The 23299-nt window shown below is 39.2% G+C and overlaps 1 protein-coding gene across 9 annotated transcripts in view; it reads left to right on the top strand.

Moving 5' to 3' along the window:
* The window catches only part of SEMA5A (semaphorin 5A), a 511043-nt gene that overhangs the window by 128657 nt on the left and 359087 nt on the right, over nucleotides 1–23299 (top strand). Inside the window, exon 1 of one of the 9 annotated variants that reach the window (XM_006714507.4) lies at nucleotides 7581–7849. The exons of the other annotated variants lie outside the window; for them this stretch is intronic. The gene's annotated coding sequence lies outside the window, so the exon portion shown is untranslated. Of the gene's footprint in view, nucleotides 1–7580; nucleotides 7850–23299 lie in introns of those variants that run through there. 9 annotated transcript variants of the gene reach the window in all.

Below are 23299 nucleotides of genomic sequence, written 5' to 3'. Positions count from 1 at the left end.
AAGGCTTAAAAATTCAGATTTATGTGAGAAATTTTAGAAAAGTTAGTAAAGTGGATAATGTGCACACGTAAATATGGTAACTATATTCTATGTATAAAATCCAGTGGGATCACATATTTAATTAGAGGTTACAGCTTATAATACTAAAAAAATCCTTTGGAAAACAATTGTCTGTGAATTGTGTACAACTGGTTTTATTTATTCTAGTAAAACTTCTTATGGGCAAAATGTAAAAGCAGCAGCATCTTAAAATAATACAGGAGAGAATTCAAATGGTTGCTATAAATGGCCTCTCTTATTTTTCTGCATGGCAGAATAAAGAGAAAATCTGTGTAGGATATAAAAGAAAATTAGAAAGCTGTTCAATGAGTGTACCAGGCTCCCTATTTTAGCAGCTGAGAAACATTTCAGTGGTAAGAGATTCTGGTCTTACCAATTTCTTTTCTACTTACAGAACATAATGCTACCTAAATTCCATCTCTCTTTTTTTCAGTGTAAAGCAGAGTTTTTCAACCTTGGCACTATTGACAATTTGCACCGGATAATCCCTTCTTGTCAGTGAGGGTAGCACATTATAGGAAATTTATCAGCATCACTGGCCTCTATTGACAGATACCCGTAGTATCCCCTCACTGTGGTAACCAGAATTGTCCCCAGGTATTGCCAAATGTTCCTGAGGAGGGGAAGTAAAATTGCCCCTGGTTTTGAACTCCTGCTTTGAAGGTCTCTTACTAAATTAAAAGCAGGGGCAAATTCATAAAGACATTGTGTGTATTTATGTAGCCATAAATCTGTGAAGTCCAGGTCTTGAACTTGATACACTATAACTTTCATGTTGCCTTTGACAACATTCCTGACCTTACACCAACTGCTTGTACCCAGTTTGCAGGTGAGAGGCTCTGGGGTAGGGGCGAGGTAGGCATGCCCTGACTACCCTGGTTACCTGGCTCTGCCCTTCCGCACCACCCCACCAGAGGCTCACCTCCACCTGGATCTAATTGCTGGGAAGTGTGGGACCTGCCCTTTGATGGGCGATGGCTTTGGGGTTCATTCTGTGGATACCAGTGATCAGAAACGGGTTAGAGTGGACAGTCCACTCCCCCAGTGACCCTCTATCTTCCCTGACCTCCCACCTCTCCAATTCTCAACTTTTTCTCCTCATTTATGTACTAATGAGTTTTAGGGTAAAAGGATGGAGCACATAAAATCCAATTTCTTGAGTAAAGGTTGGGGGAATTGAGAGTCAGTTTATCTAGAAGGGTTTTGAGAGGGAATTCCTCATCTGATGACCCACTGCCATAATTTTTTACCAATATCTCTCTAAATAGCATAGGGTTTAGTGTAAAATGTATACTTGGAACAACAAGTAGAAAGTCTTCTCTTTTTGTGGTTACCCCTGAAACACAGAGTTTATTGAGCTGAGTGAGTGCGACTTTAAAGCTGCCTTTGAAAGGACAATTTATTTTATTTTATTTTTTGGCTGCTCAGCTTTCTCAACTATGTCCCAAATAAGAAAGTTGTCCAACAATGGAAGATTTCACAGTCTGCATCTTTCAGCTACATCAGAGATCTGATGCCAGCTCTAGCACTGCAGAACATTATATGAATTTGGGAAACTCTTTGAAATAGAGTGAGGCCATAAACCAGTGAGTGAATTACAACGGTGCAGACAGTAATCATTTTGATTTGATAGGTGTTCAGCAGGGCTTCTATTACATATATTTTCCATTTTATTTAAAGGAAAATTGCATGTAATTTGCTTAGACCAACCATCTGGAAGTACTTTTTTTCTCTTTATTGCCTTTTGATACTTCGCCAGTTGAAAGAAAAAAAATAGGTTGAGAAAATTATAAAAATACTGATTTTGATGCAATTGATGTTAATGGAAAAGATAATTTTTCATCTTTCATTACATGCAGAATTAAATTAAATTCCCCTAAGCATTCTTTGATAATTATTTATGCTCTGGTGTGTGCGACAAAGCATTTAGATTCCTGTCCCTCCTCGTGCTATCATTTTACGTCCCCAAGGCCCCAACACATCTTACATGTGTCTGTGTTCAATGATCATAGCAGCTTTATTAGATAGGAGAACTCCATCTTAAAATCCAGCAACCCCAGATGCTGAGCAGTTCCCAGGAATGGTACAAAGCTTCTTCTAAATTGGCCAAAGGCTTTTTCCTTTCTGGAATGAAACTTTGTTTAAGAAAGCAGTATTTCTGGAAAGCTGCATCTTAAAATAACTATTCATAAGAAGCACTTGGTAATAGCTGACTTACTGAAAAATGCAACTTTTTGATTAATTTGAGTCAAATGTCTGTATGCTTCAATATCCATTCTGTCTCATGGTGACTAGATCTTTCCTTTGTGTCAAGTAGATTGATCTTTGGGAGGCAATGAATCACAAAATAATTGAGACCCATCTATGAAATGACATAATATTTTTAGAGCAGTCGCCTATGAAAGGGAGTGATATTTATAGCGGACATGCTATATGCAGGCACTGTCCTAGGTGTTTTACATATGTTGTTTCAATCAGTCATCTTGTGAACCCTACAAGGTAACGGGCTCTTGGTCCCATTTAACAGATAAAGCTGAGACACAGAAATATGTCACTTTCCCAGGGTAGAGTCATGAAGCTGGGATTCATTCCCATTTTTGCCAACTCAAAAGCCCATGGTGTGATACTAGGTAAAATGACTAATGCTTTTCTTCTCTTACTTGTGAATGATACCTATGGTTGATATTTTCTTCTAATGAATAGATCTGGTAGGTTCTGCTAATGTTTTGGGTGAGTTTCTTGTTGCATTTGCATGAAGATTTCTAGTAAAGGTCATTGCCAATGTTTTCATATTATGACTGGTAGAAAGCAGAAGCGTCAGTCTTGCCAATGATGCCTAAACGTTTGAAAGTGAACCTATTTCCATCTATTTATGCAGGATCCATAATCAGACCACTGGATGTAGATCTGTGTCATCAAATCTGATCTTTGTCCAAAGATCAAATGGACATCTTTTTATTTTATGCTCATTTAGTGAGACTGTATTGCATAGGCATCAGTAGGAAGAGCTAGAGGAAAACTGTCATCTTCGATGAAAGTAATTTTTCCTTATAGTTGAATCGCTAGATCTTAAATGCAGCCAAGTAGTTTTCCATGTCTTATGCTTCATTTATTGTAAATGAAATTAATGTTGTTTAATGGTATCCTTTAAAGCCTCAAATATTAAAATGAAATATGATGATTATAATAACGTCTGTTTATACATGTTATATGTGTTATTTGTAAAATAATTACATAATAGATTTTCATTTCACCAAGACAAAAGGGTTGGGTATCCTTTTGGCTCTCACTTGTTAGTCAAGAAAGACAGTAGATGATAATTATGAATCAGATCCTCCCAGATTGAAAAAAAGTTAGGAAATGTTCTGTTCCAGCTTCTCTGATGAGTTTTATTTACTTTATAGAGATTTTATATACCTATTTTGATACATGCCTGGCTTGTGTTCAGTGAAATTCATTGAAAGGACCAGCGATAAACTTTATAAATGCTAGGCTTTGAGGGAAACTCAAAATACAGGAATGTTTCAGAAACATGTACATTATTATGGCTCTGTAATCTGACTTTTGTTGAGCATATGGAGCTTTTGTTGTCTATGTATAACAAAAACATTGTCACATAATATCTGCTACCACTTGTCTTCCCTATCCTGTAACTGTGGATACTCAACAGGGTAAACATACACAGAAACTTATTAATTTATGCAATGATTTCAAGCATTCATTCTTACCCTCTCTTCTAAATCTGTCTTCTTCTACGCCCTTTTAGCCCCCAGCAGGCCTTATCATTCTTTTCAATTAATACTATTTTAAGGCGTAAGGTCTTTCGTTATGAAGTCTTGCTGGAATATACCAGAAGGCTTTGCCCAATATGCCAGTGTATAACAGCCCGTTTATGTGACTCCTAGCTCCATCTTGCTCAATACTCTGTACATGCCATTGAAGCCTTGGATGCTCTTTGCCTAAACTTTCAAAATCTTTCCAAAGGCTCAGAATCCAGGTGTGTTATTTCTGATTCTTCTCCTTCTAACATCTTTATTTCTGATTAATGCCATATATATCTAGTGTAGATGGTTACGTTTGCTGTCATAAGTGGCCTGTGTTTAAGTAACGCCCATTCTCCTGTAAACCATTCCCATGACAATTTGAGAAATGTTTTTGGCCACTGTCCTGTCACTGGATAATTTTATTTCCAGTTTTCCTGAGGACCTGCCCACCTTCCCCAATGTCTCCTTCACTCTTGACTGCTAGGAGCCCAATGCCTGGCCACCTGACTTTGTACCCATAGCTAGGAGTAAGGATTTTGTTTTGTCTCCTGCCAATACTTGTTATGCATACATTTCACTGGATGGGAAATATGGAATGGTACACATTATGAACGAAACACCAGAGATTGTTAATGGATGGTACAGGAATGCTTTGCCATGGTAATGAAGTATCTTTATACAAGAAAATGCAGGATGAGCATCTCTAATCTAAAAAACTAAAGTCCAAAGTGATCCAAAATCTAAAACATTTTCGAGTGCCAAGATGATACCACAGGTGGAAAATTCTACACCTGATCTCATTTGATGGATTGTAGTCAAAATGCTGTCAAAACATTGTTTCATGCATAAAATTATTAAACATATTGTATAAATCACCTTCAGGCTATGCGTATAAGGTGTATTTAAACATAAAGAGATTTCAAGATTAGACTTGGGTTCTATCCCCACGATAACTTGTTATGTATATGCCAATATCCCAAAATCCAAAAAAAAAAAAAAAAAATGCAAAATCTGAATCCGTTCTGGCCCCAAGCATTTCAGATAAGAGATTCTTAGCCTGTAATAACAAGGGGGACTGTTCCATGTGAAAAAAAAAAAAAAAAAGCAATGAAGTAGTAGAGGAATAACAATAAAACAGTTTATAATTTACTTTATATACAGTCCTGATCTGAGAGTTTAAAGAATATTGTAGGTCAATCAAGGAAATCATTCCAAAGATCTTCATGCATAGTCTATTGGGTATAGGATAATCTAATAAGTGGTAGACTACATTTTGTTTTTATACAATTAATTTTCGAGGACTTAATTAGGACAAGCAGAAGGGGGAGGTAGAAAGGAAAGGGTATTCTGTAACCCATGATAAGACTGATTTTTCTACCTATGTTTTACTGAGACGGGGAATCACCTTCCTGGAGGAGACTGAACGTTCATTTCGGGGAACACTTTGCATGGATTTAGCTAAGACCTTCTATGTCATTCTAAACAAATGCCCTAGTCCTGACAGTCACAATATCATTTACCCTTAACTAGCCTTAGTTTATCCTCCTATAGGTGATGAGTGGTGATATTTTATAATCATGATGGGATACTTAATGTGAGTTTTTATGTTTTGTGGATACAAGATTAATTTTTTTTTTTTTTTTTTTTTTTTTGAGACGGAGTCTCGCTCTGTCGCCCAGGCTGGAGTGCAGTGGCGGGATCTCGGCTCACTGCAAGCTCCGCCTCCCGGGTTCACGCCATTCTCCTGCCTCAGCCTCCCAAGTAGCTGGGACTACAGGCGCCCGCCACTACGCCCGGCTAATTTTTTGTATTTTTAGTAGAGACGGGGTTTCACCGTTTTAGCCGGGATGGTCTCGATCTCCTGACCTCGTGATCCACCCGCCTCGGCCTCCCAAAGTGCTGGGATTACAGGCGTGAGCCACCGCGCCCGGCCAAGATTAATTTTTATTTTCTCCTTTCATCCCTTCCTCATTGGTAACTCATGAGCACAGCTGAGTTCATGGGACTGAGGACGAGCCATCCTTCTGGCAGTGGGTGAGACCTGGTAATGATGGGACTGGACTATCAGTCTACAAATGACAGGAGGGAAGTGCTCAGCCTCTTCTAGTTGGGCACTGTATAGGGAGGCTCAGGTGTGCTTCTATGGGTGCGCAACTAACAACACACTTTTGCTTCCACTTCAGGCAGCATGCACGTTGCTTGCGTGTGGGCTGAGACACATAGCCTCTGATGAGGCTCAGTTCAGAGGGCACCCACTGTGCAGATAAGGAACAGAGTACACATGGAAAACTCACTTCCTATTTGTCTACTTGAGCCCAGTGGCTGAGCTAAATGATGTCCAATTAAGAAGACTTACTAAACTCTGGAGCCTCTACAGATAACCAGTGGCATAGCAAAGAACATGCTAAAGACGTGTCACTTGATTTCTATTAGGCAGCATCTGACCCTGTTTCTTTTGCCTGGGGTAGGTCCACTAGCTTAGTATGTGTGGAAGTTGACAGCAATTTTTGGAGTGGTGCTATAATCTATTTTATTTAGGTTACACAGTATACATAGTTTTTCAAATTATCACAAGATGAAATGAGAAATGCCTTTATTTAAAAAAAAAAAAAAGTCCAGATGGAAATTGTCATTTGCTATAACTCAAGAATAAATATAGTAAGTAGATAGAGAACGCTCTGTTATGGAAATGTAGGCGGCTTGAATGTCTTTTTTTTTTTTCCTGCTTTTATTCTTTAAAATTTTTTTTTGTTTTTCATTTCTTCTAAAAAAAGTGGGGTACATATTCAGAATGTGCAGGTTTGTTGCACAGATATACGTGGGCCATGGTGTTTTGCTGCACCTATTGACCCGCTCTCTAAGATTCCTCCCCTCACCCCCACCTCCTAAAAGGCCCAGGTGTGTGATGCTCGCCTCTCTGTGTCCACGTGTTCTCAATGTTCAACTACCACTTATAAGTGAGAACATGCAGTGTTTGGTTTTCTGTTCCTGTGTTTGTTTGCTGAGGAAGATGGCTTCCAGCTTTATCCTTGTCCCTGAGGAATGTATTTTTTCTTTACCTGAAGATTGTTGTATTTACTTATTTATATCTGTGAAAAGAGTAGCCTGAATGCTTTGCTAGATTAAAGACACGTGAAATGAAAATCCCAATCCTGCGGAGATTGACTGTTGAATGCCCAGGGAAGTCACGCAGTAAAACAGCCCCAGGAAAATGGAACAAAATGCTTTCAAAAGGTGAATTAAGAAAGGAAATAACTATTTGGAGCATGGTAATGAGAATGACAATTTATTAGTCATACATACTGTATTTTAAATAAGATCTTAGTATCCATTTCTGGAGTGCATTGTTATATTTAATTTTTACTTTCTTAATAGACCTACATGATCATATGATTTTTTTCCCAGTTATTATAGGTATAGGTGAATGCTTATCTGTTATGTATACTCTTTCTTTAATTTAATAAAAACAAATTACAGGTACTGAGAAATAAAACTTTTGTGTTAACTTTTAATTGTCTCTAAAAAAAGAAATTCTCATGGTAAAACAGAAGCTAAAAGAGATTTTTTCCCATCAAATTATTTTTATAGGTATTTTCATAGAAGATACATAAAATTTTTTATCAGGGTTCCATTGTGCCTGGATAGAAAAAACCCTCAGTAAAAGATTTACTTAATATGAAACCAGAGAACGGTGGGGGTGGGGGCATTGTTATGTGTTTGTTAAAACCACAGAGTTTTCCAAAGTCGTTTTCTTTACCTGGAGACTTTGATTTGGGTATCTGCATGAATGATCACCAGAAAGCACCCCGCGGACAACACAGCCCCCCGATCTAATGCCTCGTGTCTGACGAGCTCTCGCTCTGTGGCCAGGTTCATTTAATCATTCTCAACACCTCCTCAGAGAGAGAAGTGTAATTTTGCACAGGAGAAACTTAGTCATGGAAAGGCTTAAGATGGTCTGAAGGTCAGCCAGTAAATCAGTTACAGAGAAGGAGAAACAGCTGAGGAGCCTCCAGCACACGCAGGTAAAGGTCCCCTCACAGGTGTGGGTCGGGAGGGGGAGCCCAGGGCTGGGGGCATGCACCAGATCACAGGTGGATGTACAGAGAGAGGTGGAGTTTTGGTTCTGGCTTGGCCATGAACTCAGCCTACCAGATGAGTACAATTTTTGTTACATGGTTTCTCTGTTGCTAACTGGCCAGTAACTTAGTGGCCCAGGGTTGCCTGAGAAGGGCTTTGGACTCCTTAGATGAGAGGTAAAGCCTGAATCCCAAATTGCACTGTGCGATATTAGACTCTGAAGATTTAGCAAGAGGCGTGTTTGGGTGAATGATTATCTTTTGTCTTTTCTAGTGAATCATTTTCATGTGTCATCAACCATGTTTCTTACCTGGTAGATATGAAACTGCACCTTTCTGTAGAAAATCTATTTAATGATTAGCCAGGGGGCCAAGGGATAATTGAAAATCATCCAGTTGGCATCGGGACTCCAGGGTTTTAGTTTCAACTCTGCTGCCAACTAATTCAGTGTTACTTGGGTAAACGACTACCCTTTCTCAGGTCTTAGTTTCCATGTCTGTGAAAAACAAATATTTGCCGTAAAAACAGTGATGTCTAAACTGTGTTTAAAATGGGCCCAAATTTTCTTCAACGTGCTCTCAGAGGAGAGGGAGGCTGGGCTTGAGGCTCTTAAAAATAGGATTCTGTTGTTAGAAAAATCTCTGGCTATCTCTTAGACTCTATGACATTTAAAAAAAAAATAACTAAAAATTTGTTTTGAAATTGTTTTCAGTGTAGAGTAGCTACACATTGGAGTGGTTCAGAGATCATGGTGAGACTGCTGCCTGGATTCAAATTTTAGTTCTGTGAACTTGTGCACCTTTCTTGATGTCCCTTTGCCTCAGTTTCTTCATATGAAAAATGAGGATAATAATAGTAACCGTTGTGTTGTGCTGTTATGAGGATAAATCAACTGATAATATAAAATACTTAGTACCATGCCTGCACCTACTAAGCACGATGTAGGAGTTAAATCAATAGATGCCAATCCACTGGAAAGCTTGTTTCATATCATGGAGGGAATTTCTGTAATTTGTGAGCAATTCAGTATTTACTGCATATCCACTGTGCTTCAAGTTTGACTTAATAAGTTGGTAACCTAAGAATTTGTGTGGAGAGGACATCCCAGATCAAGATAATGACTTCAGAAAGTTCTGGAATTGTAAAAGTGCAGGAAGTAGAAAAGTCTAGTGGAGTTAAGAAGTGTGAGCTGGAGTGCCTTAGTGGATTATGTTCAAGGAGAAGTTTGATTGTGCTGGAGCCCAATGCAGGGTTATAGTATTCCGTGCTGTGGAGAGTGAGACTTCTAGCTAGCTGTAGTGGTGGTGGTGGTGATGGTGGTGGTGGTAACAGTGGTGTTGGTGATTGTGGTGGTGGTGGTGGTGATAATGATGTTGAAGATGGTGGTGAAAATGGTGGTGGTGATGGTAGTGTTGGTGATGATTGTGGTAGTGATTGTGGTGTGGTGTGGTGGTAGTGGTGATGGTCATAGTGATGGTAATGATGGTGGTAGTTGTGGTGTTGGTAGTGATGGTGATGATGGCAGTAGTAGTGATGGTGGCAATAGTGGTAAAAGTCATAGTGGTGGTGTTGACAATGATGATGGTGGTCATGGTAGTGGTATTGGTGGTGATGGTGGTAGAGATGGTGATGATGGTGATGGTGATGGTGGTAAGGCAGGACTACAGACTCTTCTTTTTCCTAAAGTGACTTTTGCGCTAGGTACTCACCATCCAGAGCTTAAAGGAATCTGGCAGGCCACTGCATCAACTGATAAGGAATGGCTTAGTTGACCTAGCAGCATGAGGGTAAGAGATGGGGAGGGTAGCTGGGGACTGAGGAAGATTTTATTCTTTATTGCTGATCCCTGTGAAGGTATAGCCCCTCTTCCACAGGTGAACACTTGGCTGGTAATTCTGTTGTCATTAGCAAAGCAAAGCAAATGCAGCCAGGTAGCTTATGGGACCAAAATACACTTCCCTTGGAGGTTTGTGGTTCCTGCTTAAGTTTTAGAAATGTGTTAAATGAGGGCTAAATTTCAATGTTCACTTCATTTACCAAACTGTGCTGTCCTTATTACTGTGGTAACAGAAGCCTGTTTTTCTGGTATCCATTATATAACTGATTTTTGAAACCCATGTTTCATTGTGCTGAAATTGTGTTGTACTAATTCAGGATACAGTTTTGATTACTATGCGTAGCACTTTCTGTAAGATCGTATTAGCACAGTAAGTAGAGAAGAAAATCAAAATATGGAAAATAAAATCACGATATTCTCTCTTTATGTTTAGTCTACTTGTTACATACTCTTTTTGTAGATTGTATCTTTGTATACAGCAGTGGTCCTCAATGGAAGGGAGAGCAATTCTGCCTTCTCCTCCTCTGCAAGGGGACATTTGTCAATATTTAGAAACATCACTAAGATTGTCAAGACTGTTTCTTGTGCTACAGACATCTCATGAAAAGCAGCAGGCAATACCGCTAAGCATCCTTCAATGCACAGGACAGATCCACAATAAACATGTATCCTGTCCAAAATGACAGTCACGCTGAAGCTAAGGAACTCTGGAATAGTGTTTATTCTCTGAGAAATTTGATACAGTACCTTCCTCATTCTAGAATCTCTTAATTTTCCATTTTCCAAATTCCATGGTAATAACTGTCTAACTTTTACTGAAAGACCTGTTTGAAATCTATCTACTACAGGACACCTACTTGCATTGGGCTAATTTCATTTAATATCATTTCCGTACATTCTCTTCACGTAAACATTTCACATTTGTGTTAAACTTACAGATGTTTTATGATTTTAAATCTGATATTTTATCAGTTATTATACATTAACCTATATATGTTTCTTCTTTTCTAATTTGGATTTGAGTTACTTAATACCTGTTAAAATTTCTTTGAATAATTTTTAAAATGTCCAGTGCCATCCATACTTGACATATCCAATAAATATTTAAGGCTTAAATTTTATATTTGATGCATTTATACAAATCAAAATATTTTCTTGATATTTATAACTCCTTTTATTAAAGATAAAATCAGTGTTGCTGGTTTTTTCCCAAAGCAGAAATTTATTCAATTCTCACTGGAATTGAGTACTGACATGAGGGCAGTTTGTTTTATGTTTGAGAAAATAATTCTAGTTTTCTACTTTTCTAGGACTAATTATTGTAATTTTTAATAAATCTAGGCTGGGATCTTTATGTGACTATTCCCACTGGCCAGCCTTTTAGAAGCCTGTGTTATCTTTTCTTTATTTCACACATTATAAATTAGTATCGCTGCCTCTGCTGGACTTAGCAGTAAGTAAGTCATTGCCACTGGGAAAATGTTTGTGTTTGGACAAATACTGCTCTTGTGCATGCGGAGTCCTCTGAGACAGAGCTAGTTTGTTGTTGTCATTTTAACCATGTTCGCTTTATTTTGCTTCTAACAAATTCTTCCTCCATGTCTACTTCTCTGACTACGTAAGGCAGAAGACCTGTAGTACCATCATCATTCATGGTAAATTGGAAACCCAAGTTTCTTTTATTCCTGTTGGGTAAAGACAGGTCCCAGATATTCATCATCTTGTTGTTTCTGCTGGCCTGTGAGTCCTTTTCTTTGCTGGCCACTTGTGACCTTATATGATGCACCTGTCTGCATCTGCTCACCGTGGATGAGTTGGTGACCTCTGTTACAGACATCGTTTACCTGCATATGCCTTCTATATGGCCAATTCAATGATGGAGTAATAAGTGATATGGAAGAGAATCCAGCATATTCGAAGTCCCTCCATTTAAAAGGGCATGGAGATTAATTCATGATTATTGGCCATTAGCTGTGCACCCAGCATTCTGGCCACCTTTTGTACGTATTAGCTCATTCACTCCTTGCAAATGCCCCAAGAGACAGGGGGCTGTGAGTATCCTTATTTACCCACAGAGAAACAGCACCTCATGGGGCTGAAGTTACTTTGCCAAGACTTTTCTGTAATTGACTCAGCTCTGTTCAGGTTTGAGTCTAGTATTCTCACTTTCTCTCTCCTTCAGAATCCCATTGGCTTTGATTATACATCATTCAGTTCAATGAGACTGAATGAAGCTGACACAGGCTCAGAAGAAATGTTGTCCTGGGGCTTTGGACTTTAGACATTGCTTAAAATTAAGAAAGGTGCTGCCTTTTGAATGGAAAGTTTAGACTAAGTTAGAATTCATGGCTACTGGATGATAGGAACAATTTTTCCAGAGTACATATGTCTGTCCAAATGGTGAGATTCCTGGGGAATTTTGAATCTCTGGGGAGTCTGTTTTTCTGTGAAGTTATTTCTAATGTTATTCCCATCCTCAGGAAGGGCAGAAATGCTGTAACATGTGGGTGTTTTCAACAACCTATTTTGTTTCTTGTTTCTTGATGTGCACACGGTCTCAGAAAACGTTCCTGGAGTTAGCTGTTTGGGCTTGTTGTTTCATGATGGGGTAAAATAATGAATATCTTGCTTAACATTCTGTAACTCTAGAATTTGCTTCCAAACCACATAGCTTCCCATTAAACTGGGTGAGAGAACATACTCTGGAGAGCTGGTTACCTTATATTCGCCCTTTCTTTGGTTGGCTGGATAATCCATCCTGGAATCTAATACTTTTCAAAAGGAGGGCATAACTTGTTGGTTTCTGGTTGTAATGGCAGTATCCTTTTTACATGAATTAACCTTTGGAGGTCACCTGAGACAGTCCACCTGGAAGGTCTTAGTATTTGTTTATTCACTAGTGGCTGCATTCTTTCTGTGATCTCAATAACTAGCTATCAGAAGTTAGTCTAATCAGAGTTTTTACCCTTAACAAGGGGAAATTGCCTTCAAATTATTTGTGTACAACGGGACACTGGAATGGTCTTTCATAAGATAAACCTCCTAATCACTCAGTATTGCAAATACACATTTTTAAACAATTTGATTAAGTAAGAAACCTAGTGATACAGCATTAGAGACTTGAGCTGTGTTAACAAGTTTATAAATGATTTAGCCTTCGCAGAAAGATTTATTACTGGTATTAGAAGATTATGGGCACCCAGGCTGCGATATGGGTGCTATTTTTCTCTTTAACATATATATAGTGGAGGTTGTTATTTGAAACCACTTGACTTTATGACTTTGATTAGAAAAAATCATTGATGTCTTCTTAATCTAACTTCATGGCAGGCAGCTAATGAAAACGCGTATCACCATGGTTCTGGGAAATATGACAGCTGTAGATTTCATAGGTGGGAAAATGAACAGAGAAATCATATGTAATTCTTTTAAAACCTATTCACAGGCCAGGCATGGTGGCTCACGCCTGTAATCCCAGCACTTTGAGAGGCTGAGGTAGGCAGATCACCTGAGGTCAGGAGTTCAAGACCAGCCTAGCCAACATGGTGAAACCGCATCTCTACTAAAAATACAAAATTAGCCTGGCATGGTGGCATGCATCTGTAATCCCCGCTACTGGGGAGACTGAGGCGGGAGAATTGCTTGAACTGGGGAGGCAGAGTTTGCAGTGAGCCAAGATCATGCCACTGTACTCCAGCCTGGGCAACAGAGCGAGACTTCATCTCAAAAAACAAACAAACAGACAAACAAACAAACAAACTGATTCACAGTAGGAGGCTGGGTGAGGCTTAGAACTTGGATGTAAACACTCTATATCCAGACCTTTGCCATGTTTCTGACTGGCTGTAGTGGCAGAAGAGGAGAGCTGTCTGTGAACAGTTACTGTTTCCCTTTTCTCTCGTTCCCTCCTATTTTAATAAGTTCTTTGCTTCTAAGCCTTAAGCCTCTGTGGACTGTCAAGGAGCATTCAGCAAAGAGGATTGGCTCATTTTTCAGCAGAGCATGAGATGGCTTAAAATTGGGGGTTCCAATTTTCATTATAATGTGGCAGCAGGTATGTGTTAATCATTGTATGCTAGTCAGTGTGAGATGATGCATGGAGGGTATTCAATATTACAATCCTTATAGCAACCCACAAGGAAAGTACAATTAATATGCTAGTGTTGTAACGAGCAGCTGAATGTTAGTGAGGTGAAATAACTCGCCCAAAGTCACCCAGCCAGCAAGGGGCAGTACAGAGACTTAAACTCGGGTGCCTAGTGGAGGAGCTGGGCTTCCTAATCTTTCCTTGTGCTTCCTCATTTGTCTTACAAACATTGCCTGTGTCTCTGCAATGTTTCAGACCTAAGCTCGATTGTGATAAAAATGTGTACTGTACTAAAAGAGTGTCTTTGCTTACGGTCTGGTTTGTATTGGGGAGTTAAATTCATAAACAGTTATATCACTTTGTAAGTGAAATAATAAGGGGTATATACAATGAGTTTGAATGCAAATTGGAAGGAATAATTCATTCGAATGGGCCATGACAGAGGGTAATTAACACAGCTTTTGTGGATGCATTTGTAGTGGATCTTCATAAAATGGGAGAAGATAGAAAATTGTAGTTTGGAGATGGCATTTGGAGCATAAAGAGCAAGGGGCATGTAGGCATGAAAATGCTGGTGTCAAGGGTGCTGAATTGTTGGTGCAAAGAGGACCATGAGGCAGGAAGAGGAATTTGGAGTGAGTTTGTGTTGCATCTTGCTGGCCATGTTCAGGGGCTGTCATAAGACCAAGTCCAGAAGTTCCTGATAGATGGGTTTAAGCCATGTTGAGGATACATGAGAGAAAAAGGAGAACAGAGCCAGGAATGATTCAACCAGGATACTGGCTGGGGCAAGGTGAGAAGGGCATTCAACAGATAACATCTTGTGGACCCTTAATACAGTTCTGATGGTGTATTGGGAACATTAAAAGCAGGATGAGATTATTGGGTCTTCAAACCCTTGACAAGTAGACGGTACCAGTAGATTATTTCACCTCACTAACATTCAAAACCCCAAAACCTTGATGAGTAGATGGTACCAGTAGATCATTTCACCTCACTAACATTCAAAACCCCAAAACCTTGACAGGTAGATGGTACCAGTAGATCATTTCACCTCACTAACACTCAAAACCCCAAAACCTTGACAGGTAGATGGTACTTCTTAGAAGAAGAAAAAAGAGAATTACCGAAGATTAGTAACTCTTTCAAAGTCACAAAGCTGGAAAGTGGGGCATATTTCAAACTCACATCTGTGTGATTCCAGAAAGAGCTCAAAGGGCCTATAGAATAGTCACATTTGCATGGAGGAATCATAGATAAAGTCATAGCATCTCTTGTGAAATTGGTGGTGAGGTTGAGACACTCCACTTTTGCAAGAGCCAGAGAGGTGATGAAAGAGCAGATAAGCTGCCAAAATCCTTTATTGCTCTGTGATTGTGTGTTTATAGCAGAACTTACTAGTCCCTGGCCGTGACTTGCATCTCCTTGTTAATTGTAGTAATTACATGAATGTTCTGTGGATCCTCCTTTATAGATTGACATTAAGAGAGATAGATGGGCCAAAGAAGTATGGTTTAGACATCTGAGTCCAGCATGTAGTGTGTACATGTATAGAGTTAATTGTAGTGAACATGTGGTTACAGCAAATAAGGACACAATTTTCTATGTTGTAGACCAGTGGAGACAAGTGTGTAGCAACACATACACGGGGCCTTATTCGACTGGTACAAACTTGTGTTTGATTTATTAGAGCATGCTGAAGACAGTGTGCTGACCTTCTCAGAGATATTGATATGGAGGGAATGGTGACAGTTGGGAGCAGAAGCAGCTGCTTATTAGGACTGTGTTGAGCTTAACTAGCAACCCCAGGCTGATTCTCATCTTTAAATTTTTTAAGGAAAACTCCTATAGGACAAAAACATTGCCCAGAAAATCCCCATAGGATGAGAGTCTTGCCTAGTGGTCAAGGCATTAATTTATGGAAAGATGCTTGCTAACGATTTATAGAACTGTGATTTTGGGGAACATAACTATTTTGTGATCTGAAATCCTGTTTTGACAGCACGTCCCACATTATATTCCTGTGCTTTGGCAATGGTGGAATGAGGGTGATTCTTTTAGGAGCTGAGAAGAGGACCACACGGGGATGCTGAGTCATTGTAATTGCACAGGTGTCATAAGATTGAGGCCTCACATTACGAGGTGGCACATATGGCCTTTGGGATAGTTCTGAGATTCTAGAAGGACATGTTTAATAATTAAGGGTGGACACCATGGGAAACATTGTCTTTGGCTGACATATGGCACTAGACCCTTTGTCTTCACTGAAACTTAACACACTGTACAGTAAAATATGCAAGCACTTGTGATACATAGTGGAAGAAATAGGTCCAGGCAGTGTGGCGCGACTTTTATGGATACTGCTCATCCACCTTCATGCTCACTGGGTCTTCCAGCTTGCTCTTCTCTTTGGGAATGACCAGTACTGAAAAAGTTTTCTTTAGCTATTTGCCTTAATTGCTTGAACAGTGGAAAAAAAATTCTGGGAAAAGAATGGAAATTTTTAATAAACAAGTTGGAGTGAAGAAATGTGTACCTAGTCTCTCAGGGTTGTCTAAGGGTACACAAAAGCATGCATTTTGGAGAGGAGAGTGAGTTCCTGAGGTCAGACACTGGTCTCCACCAACACAAGCATTAAATAAATCATGGAAATAAGTCATATAAATCATGAAGTAATTTATAATTCTAGGTAATGTAAATTATAATAAATTATAATTGTATATAATGTAACGTATTTAAAGTAATTGTAGAGTTGATTTCTTCATGAATATTAACAGGGCAATGAGCTATCTGGAGAGCTGGTGCATTTCAGTAAAAAATGTTTTGGGAGGCCGAGGCGGGCGGATCACGAGGTCAGGAGATCGAGACCATCCCGGCTAAAATGGTGAAACCCCGTCTCTACTAAAAATACAAAAAATTAGCCGGGCGTAGTGGCGGGCGCCTGTAGTCCCAGCTACTTGGGAGGCTGAGGCGGGAGAATGGCGTGAACCCGGGAGGCGGAGCTTGCAGTGAGCCGAGATCCCGCCACTGCACTCCAGCCTGGGCGACAGAGCGAGACTCCGTCTCAAAAAAAAAAAAAAAAAAAAAAATGTACATTGTGTTCAAACTATTGAAGAAGAATGTCAATTTTACATTTTTTTTTAGATCTTCAGATTGTTTAATTTGTCTAAATTGATCAAATTATTCTGAATTGAAAATGATAAAAAGAATTTATTTTTAATTTTTATTTTTTAAGTTATCTGAGTTTAATTCTTTTATTTTTTAAATTTTACTTTAAGTTCTGGGATACATGTGCAGAACGTGCAGGCTTGTTACATAGGTATACATATGCTGTGGTGGTTTGCTGCACCTATCAACCCATCATCTAGGTTTTAAGCCCTACATGCATTAGGTATTTGTCTTAATGCTCTCCCTCACTTCGCCTCCAACCCTGCGACAGGCCCTGGTGTGTGATGTTCCCCTCGCTGTGTCCATGTGTTCTCATTGTTCAACTCCCACTTATGAGTGAGAACATGTGGTGTTTGGTTTTCTGTTCCTGTGTTAGTTTGCTGAGAATGATGGTTCACAGCTTCATAGATGTTCCTGCAAAGGATATGAAGTCATCCTTTTTTATGGCTGCATAGTATTCCACGGTGTATATGGCTCTTTTACTTTGTATGTATACCAGTATCTTATCCCCCTTCACCATCTATGTCAAGCTAATGGGAACCTAGACTATGGAAAGCTTCCTATATAAAGAGCTCTCTCCTTTACTTTTGTGACTCCCATAGTCACCGCTATCACCAAACACCACTGTGGAAGCCCCTCTTACCCAAGACTGAGAAGTTCCCCTCAAGGCCCCTTTCCGTCATCAGCCACACCCTAATCTTCTTTCTCTATCACCAGCTTCTGCTGGAACCATCATCACAAGAACCTGGTAGCCTGGTTGCTAGTTGGAAATTATTTTTTAATAACAGCTTTACATAAGATATAAATCACATATCATAAAATTTACCCTTTTGAGATTTTTCATAATTTTTCATACATTCACAGAGCTGTGTAACCACCACTGTTATCTAAATTTAGAACATTCTGATGACCCCAGAAAGAACACCCGTATCCATTAGCAGAAACTCTCCATTCTTCCTTCCATCAACCCCTGGCAATCACTAATCTATATTCTGTCTCTACGGATTTGCATATTCTAGATATTTTATATACATGGAATCGTAAAATGTGTGGCCTATTGTGCCTGATTTCTTTCACTTATCATGTTTTCAAGGCTTATAGCATGTTATAGCATCCACATTATAGCATATGTCAGCACTTTATTCCTTTTACTGGCTGAATAACACTTCATTGTAGCATCTACCACATTTTCTTCATCTGTTCTCCATGTATTAGTTGATGGACATTCAGATCATTTCTACTTTTTAGACTATTATCAATAGTGCTGCTATGAATGTTCATGTACAAGTTTTATGTGAACAGATATTTTCTTTCTCTTAGATATAGACATAGGAGTGGGATTGCTGGGTTATTGAAATTCATTTTTTATAGAGAGGTAACTATCTTAGCACTATCTTACATTTGAAATGAAGCACACATTTTTCAAAGTTAAAAAATGTGGCGTTTTCTTTGATGATGATGGTACAATATTTTTGCAAATTATCAGGATACTCAAAACAGTCAGTCTTTATACCATTGGTAGCACAGGCTTGCACAGTGGTTTCCGATTCAGACACATGTGAATTCAAGTCCTGGCACAGCCACTTTCTAGATTGCTGATAACCTGGTGCTAGAAGGTTCACTTTGCCGAATCATACTTTATTTTCCAGATTAAACCTAGGCCTGTGTTTCTCAAACTCTCATAGTTTTTTCCAAAGTTTTTCATGACATTAGACACAGAAAATTGAAATATTTTTGTGGGCAAATTTGGTAAATGGAAGAGACTTTTCATCTGAAGGGCAGAAGGGCTTGGTACCTGATCTACCTGAATTGCAGTTCTTCAGTATCCTCAGCCATGCTGGTGTCTTTTCTACTCTACTGAGGCTCTTGTCTGTTAGGAAATTATTTTCTCAATGTGTTTGCAGACCTGGCCCTTGCTATAACCTTTTCTGTTCCAATCTGTGAGAATCACCATTAACCACTGGAGAAAAATATTGCACAATAAGCTACGCTTTTGAAGGGTTATGATCTCATTGTATTTTATCTTCAGTACGATATGTGGGGGAAACTCTCAAGATAAATGAAGATGCCAGCTCTGGTGTTTTTGAACACTTTAGCTCCGACTTCCATTTAGGAAGTTATGGATGCTTGCCACCAGTGCACTTAATTTGATCTGGAATTTGATGCCACACCAGTGTCATATTTTTTCTAGGCTTCTGGATATCATAGTGTTTTCCTTGACGTGTGTTTTTCTGTTTTCATCTCAGTCAGTGGTCTTTGGTCATTGTGCTGCTTATGTAAAAAATCTAATTTAAATTCAAGTTTTCTACTGTGGAAAAAAAATACTTGGCCATGTTGGATTTCCTGTAGAGAAGTTGGGCATATCATTGCACTCTATTTTATTTTTCTCTGAAGATGATAGCGTGGATCAGCTCTTCCTATCAGAAGAGCACCACTCACATGCCAAGCTCCAGGGAATCGTGATCAACATGGTGTTGTGGAGTTAGGATGAGGCTGTTTGGATGGTGATTTGAGAATTTGGTATGAGAATTCTAGTCATTTTAAAAATAATTAAGGGCTGTCTTTGACACTGTCTTCCACATTCTTGATGCCATCTTCAAGCATGACCATGTATAACAAATTTATGGGGACTGGACTTATTAGTAAAGCTACTGCAATCCTCTGGTGGTGTGAATTAGAGACAGCGCTTAAGCTCCCAATTCATCTTGATTCTTGTCTGCAGCATCTTCTTAGCAAAAGGATACATGACTTTTTATTATAATAATCATACATGCTAATTTACATTAATCTTGCAAAAACAATTGCCCCAAAGCATTAAAAATGTGCAAAGCCATATATCTCAGAATGTTCTAATGATTGGGTGTGTTTTTCTCCAGATGTTCATTATAACCTTAAAGACCTGCATTGTCATGTCTAACCATTATTGAGTACTTGCAGTGGACCTGGCACTGTTCTAAGTGTTTTACGTTGATTAAATTATTAAATCCTTACAAACCATATGAGAAAGGTGCTAGTATTATCCCCACTTGAAGATGGAAGCACAGAACACACAACCAGGAAGTGGCTGAGCTGGAATTTGCAACCTGGCACTGATAGGTGCAGCTGGTTTTATAAATTATAGAAATGTATGTTTATATTTCAATATGAAAGTGTTTTTGTGTGTGCATTCACATGAGCACTCATTTATGTGTGCAGCTGTGTGGATGTGTATATGTGGGTGTGCAACTATGTGTGTGTTTGTTTATGTGCTGTACATAGAGTTGAGTTTCTTGCCAATACACTTAATATTATAACTTGAGCATATTTATCTTAAAAGCAATGTCTTGTCTTCCTGATTTTATTTTGTCTTCTTTGGTCCTATTTTTTTTTTTTGTCTTCCTTGTTCCATTTGTATAGAACTATTTCCCTCTTCCTCAGTAGAAGCTTCCAAACGATGCTTGTAACACATAATAATCAGACTAGGTTGAATATATTTCAGTGTAAATCTTTGCTGACATCTATGTTAAAAATGTCTGTGGGATTTGTGTTAATCAAGGATGGTGAGACAGCAGAGGCAGACATGATGGTCATGAAGAAAAGGTTTATGCTCACAGACTCTGTAAACAGGAGGCTCATAATGCTACACAGGGCCACGTGGGGAAGGACCAGGGAGGGTTGGGAGGCAGAAGAAAACCGAGGCTTGCAGAGGCTTGACTGGGGTTCTCTCTGTAAGGAGTGGGCAAGGCAGGGTGAGTACACTAAGTTTAGGATTTGAGAGTTTGAGTATTTTTGGTGGGTGCTGGGCTATGTGGTGTTCCCTACTGCTGTGGTAGTTGGCTCTGGGGTGCTTTAGGTAGGGGGAACATTAGCACATTGGGTGAGAATTTGATAAAGGAGATGGTTGAGAGTGGGGGCTCTGGCTTGGCTGGTTGGTAGGTATGCAGAGGTATCCTCTGGGGTGTTGTTTGCTGTCTTTACGAATATGCTAGCCCTAGGAGGGCCAGTCTCTCTAGAAACAAGGCTCCAAATGCCAGAGGATCAAGAATACAGAAATCAAGAAAATATACCCAGCACAAAATATCTGATGAATTCCTTTGGAGAATGTCCTAGAGGTGAAACCAACTAGGCAAAGTAGATAAATAATGTTAAGCTCTTAGGATGTATTTGTGTGTGTGTGTGTGTGTGTGTGTGTGTGTGCACGCACGCGCATTAAATCAAAAGAGACCGTTCTGTTAAGCAGCCATACCAACCAACTGCCTCATGTTTGTGTTTTAAAACTCACAGTCATTAAAGTACTGCCTGATCCTACAAGTTGTAAACTAACTTTTTTCCAGACTTCTCGTGTGGGTAGCTTCCTTCCACAACCTGTCATTTATTGTGATACACGGTATTAGTTACTAAACTAAATAGATCTGTCTGTGTGCCCCTGCAAGGAAGTATCCTTAAACTGTGAGATTTGTGCTTGGGAAACATCTGACCTTCCAGAATGAAGTGTTTATTCCTTAAAGCACAGCCCCATCTCCTCCAGTTTCATCTCTGTGGTTAATGAACTGTCTCTTATGTTACTGTGGTCATAATCAAAGAGAACTGCAGGGATTTTCTTGAACAGTAAGATTAAGCAGAACATTTTTCCTCCTACATATGATGTTAGAGAAGGCACATCACTTTCATCTACTCACTCAACCAGAAATGTAATCTATTGCATACAGAGAAAAACATGTGTGCTACTTTGCCTATAACGAATTAACAGGTGTGTTCTATTTACCTAGCTACGGGGGCCACTTTGAGGACCAAAATGCAGTATGGCCAAGTCACAGTGGAAAGTGTCAATGACTATGTGCCTGAGCATTTCTTCTTGGTATAAGCAGAAAGCTTTGGATAACATAGTTTATCTGATGCAGCTGATAAAACCAATTTCATTTCCTTAGGTACAAGTGACTTTTTTCCCTCCAGGTAAACTGAGTCTAGCAAGTAAGAGGTAGCAGGTTCCAGTTTTAGGAATGGCTATCATTGACTTACAGGCTACACCTGTACGCCACACATTCTGAACATAACTTTTTTTTGGCCCAACTTTACATGAGAATAACAAAGATTTCACGTTCAGTTTGGAGAACACTTATGGAAAGAAGACCTCTGCTTTATGAAGGTTTATATCTTCACACCTCCCATTCTTTGAACCAGTTTTTTCTTTTCCGTACTGCAGCAATGGTTCCCTCCATGGTTTTCTGCTGTCTTATACCTGGCAAGTCAACCCTGAACTGGATCTAAATATGTGCATTGAAGTCCTGTCTCACTGGTTAACCCATAAAACTAATCTTACCTCCTTCCTTTAAATGTAAATATTTTGCTCATTTTAAATTACCAAATTAATAAATGCATATTGTTGAAAATTTAATATAGAATTATATTTTTAAAAATTTTCCTACGACTTAGGAGTAACCACAATTTTCTTGGCACTTACAAACATTAAAAAAATTAGTTTATTTTAGTCAAACATTGGAGTTTTTCTTCTCTATTTTTAATCTATAGATAAATAAATGTCTGCACTTTATTTTTTTCCACTCACATCATTATTGAATTTATAAACTCAGTATATAGAGTTTTACTACATTGGCTTAATAAGCTGTATAATATTTAATAGTATGGATGTGCCATACTACTTATAACTTTGGTCTTTTCAAACAAAAATGCATTTGCTACCTCCATTCTTGGTACATTCTATCTTGAGACTTTATTTCATTTCTCTGCCAAAAGTGTGGTCTCTTTATTTCCACTTCGTTGACATGATTCCCACACTTCCAAAACCTGCCTGCTCCCCCACCTCCTCCCAGATCAACCTGGGGCTTCTTTCCATGACTTGTTATTGCTCGGTTGGTTGTTATGTTCATTCCATAAATATTAGGTACTTTCTACGTGCAAGAAACTTTGGTGGGCAGTGAGTGGCCACAGTAACAAGCAGGCCAGGCTCTGGTCTTGTGGCTTTAGTGTACAGCAGGGACACCGTATCCCACATCACAGGAAGCCAGACTCCACGGCAGGGCGTGCTGAGGGCCATGGAGGCAATGGTGTGTCCTGAGCACGCTTCCTGGAGGCTTCCTTGCTTCTCACATGGTAAATGGTTACCACTCTTGGGGGAGCTGGTGTTTGATTTGGACCTCAGAGAATGGATAAGGTTCTAAAATGGACATGGGGGAGTGTGTTCCAGGCAGAAGGGTGGAAGTGGGAAAGTGTGGGGCCTAAGAAGGACTGTGGGTGACCTCATTCCACTGGGGGCTTGATCCTGGGGAATACCTCTGTTGTTCATACCACACTTATTCATATTCA

This window comes from Homo sapiens, chromosome 5, assembly GCF_000001405.40.
Source record: "Homo sapiens chromosome 5, GRCh38.p14 Primary Assembly".
NCBI lineage: Eukaryota > Metazoa > Chordata > Mammalia > Primates > Hominidae > Homo > Homo sapiens.
This window is presented reverse-complemented; position numbering and strand designations above follow the sequence as displayed.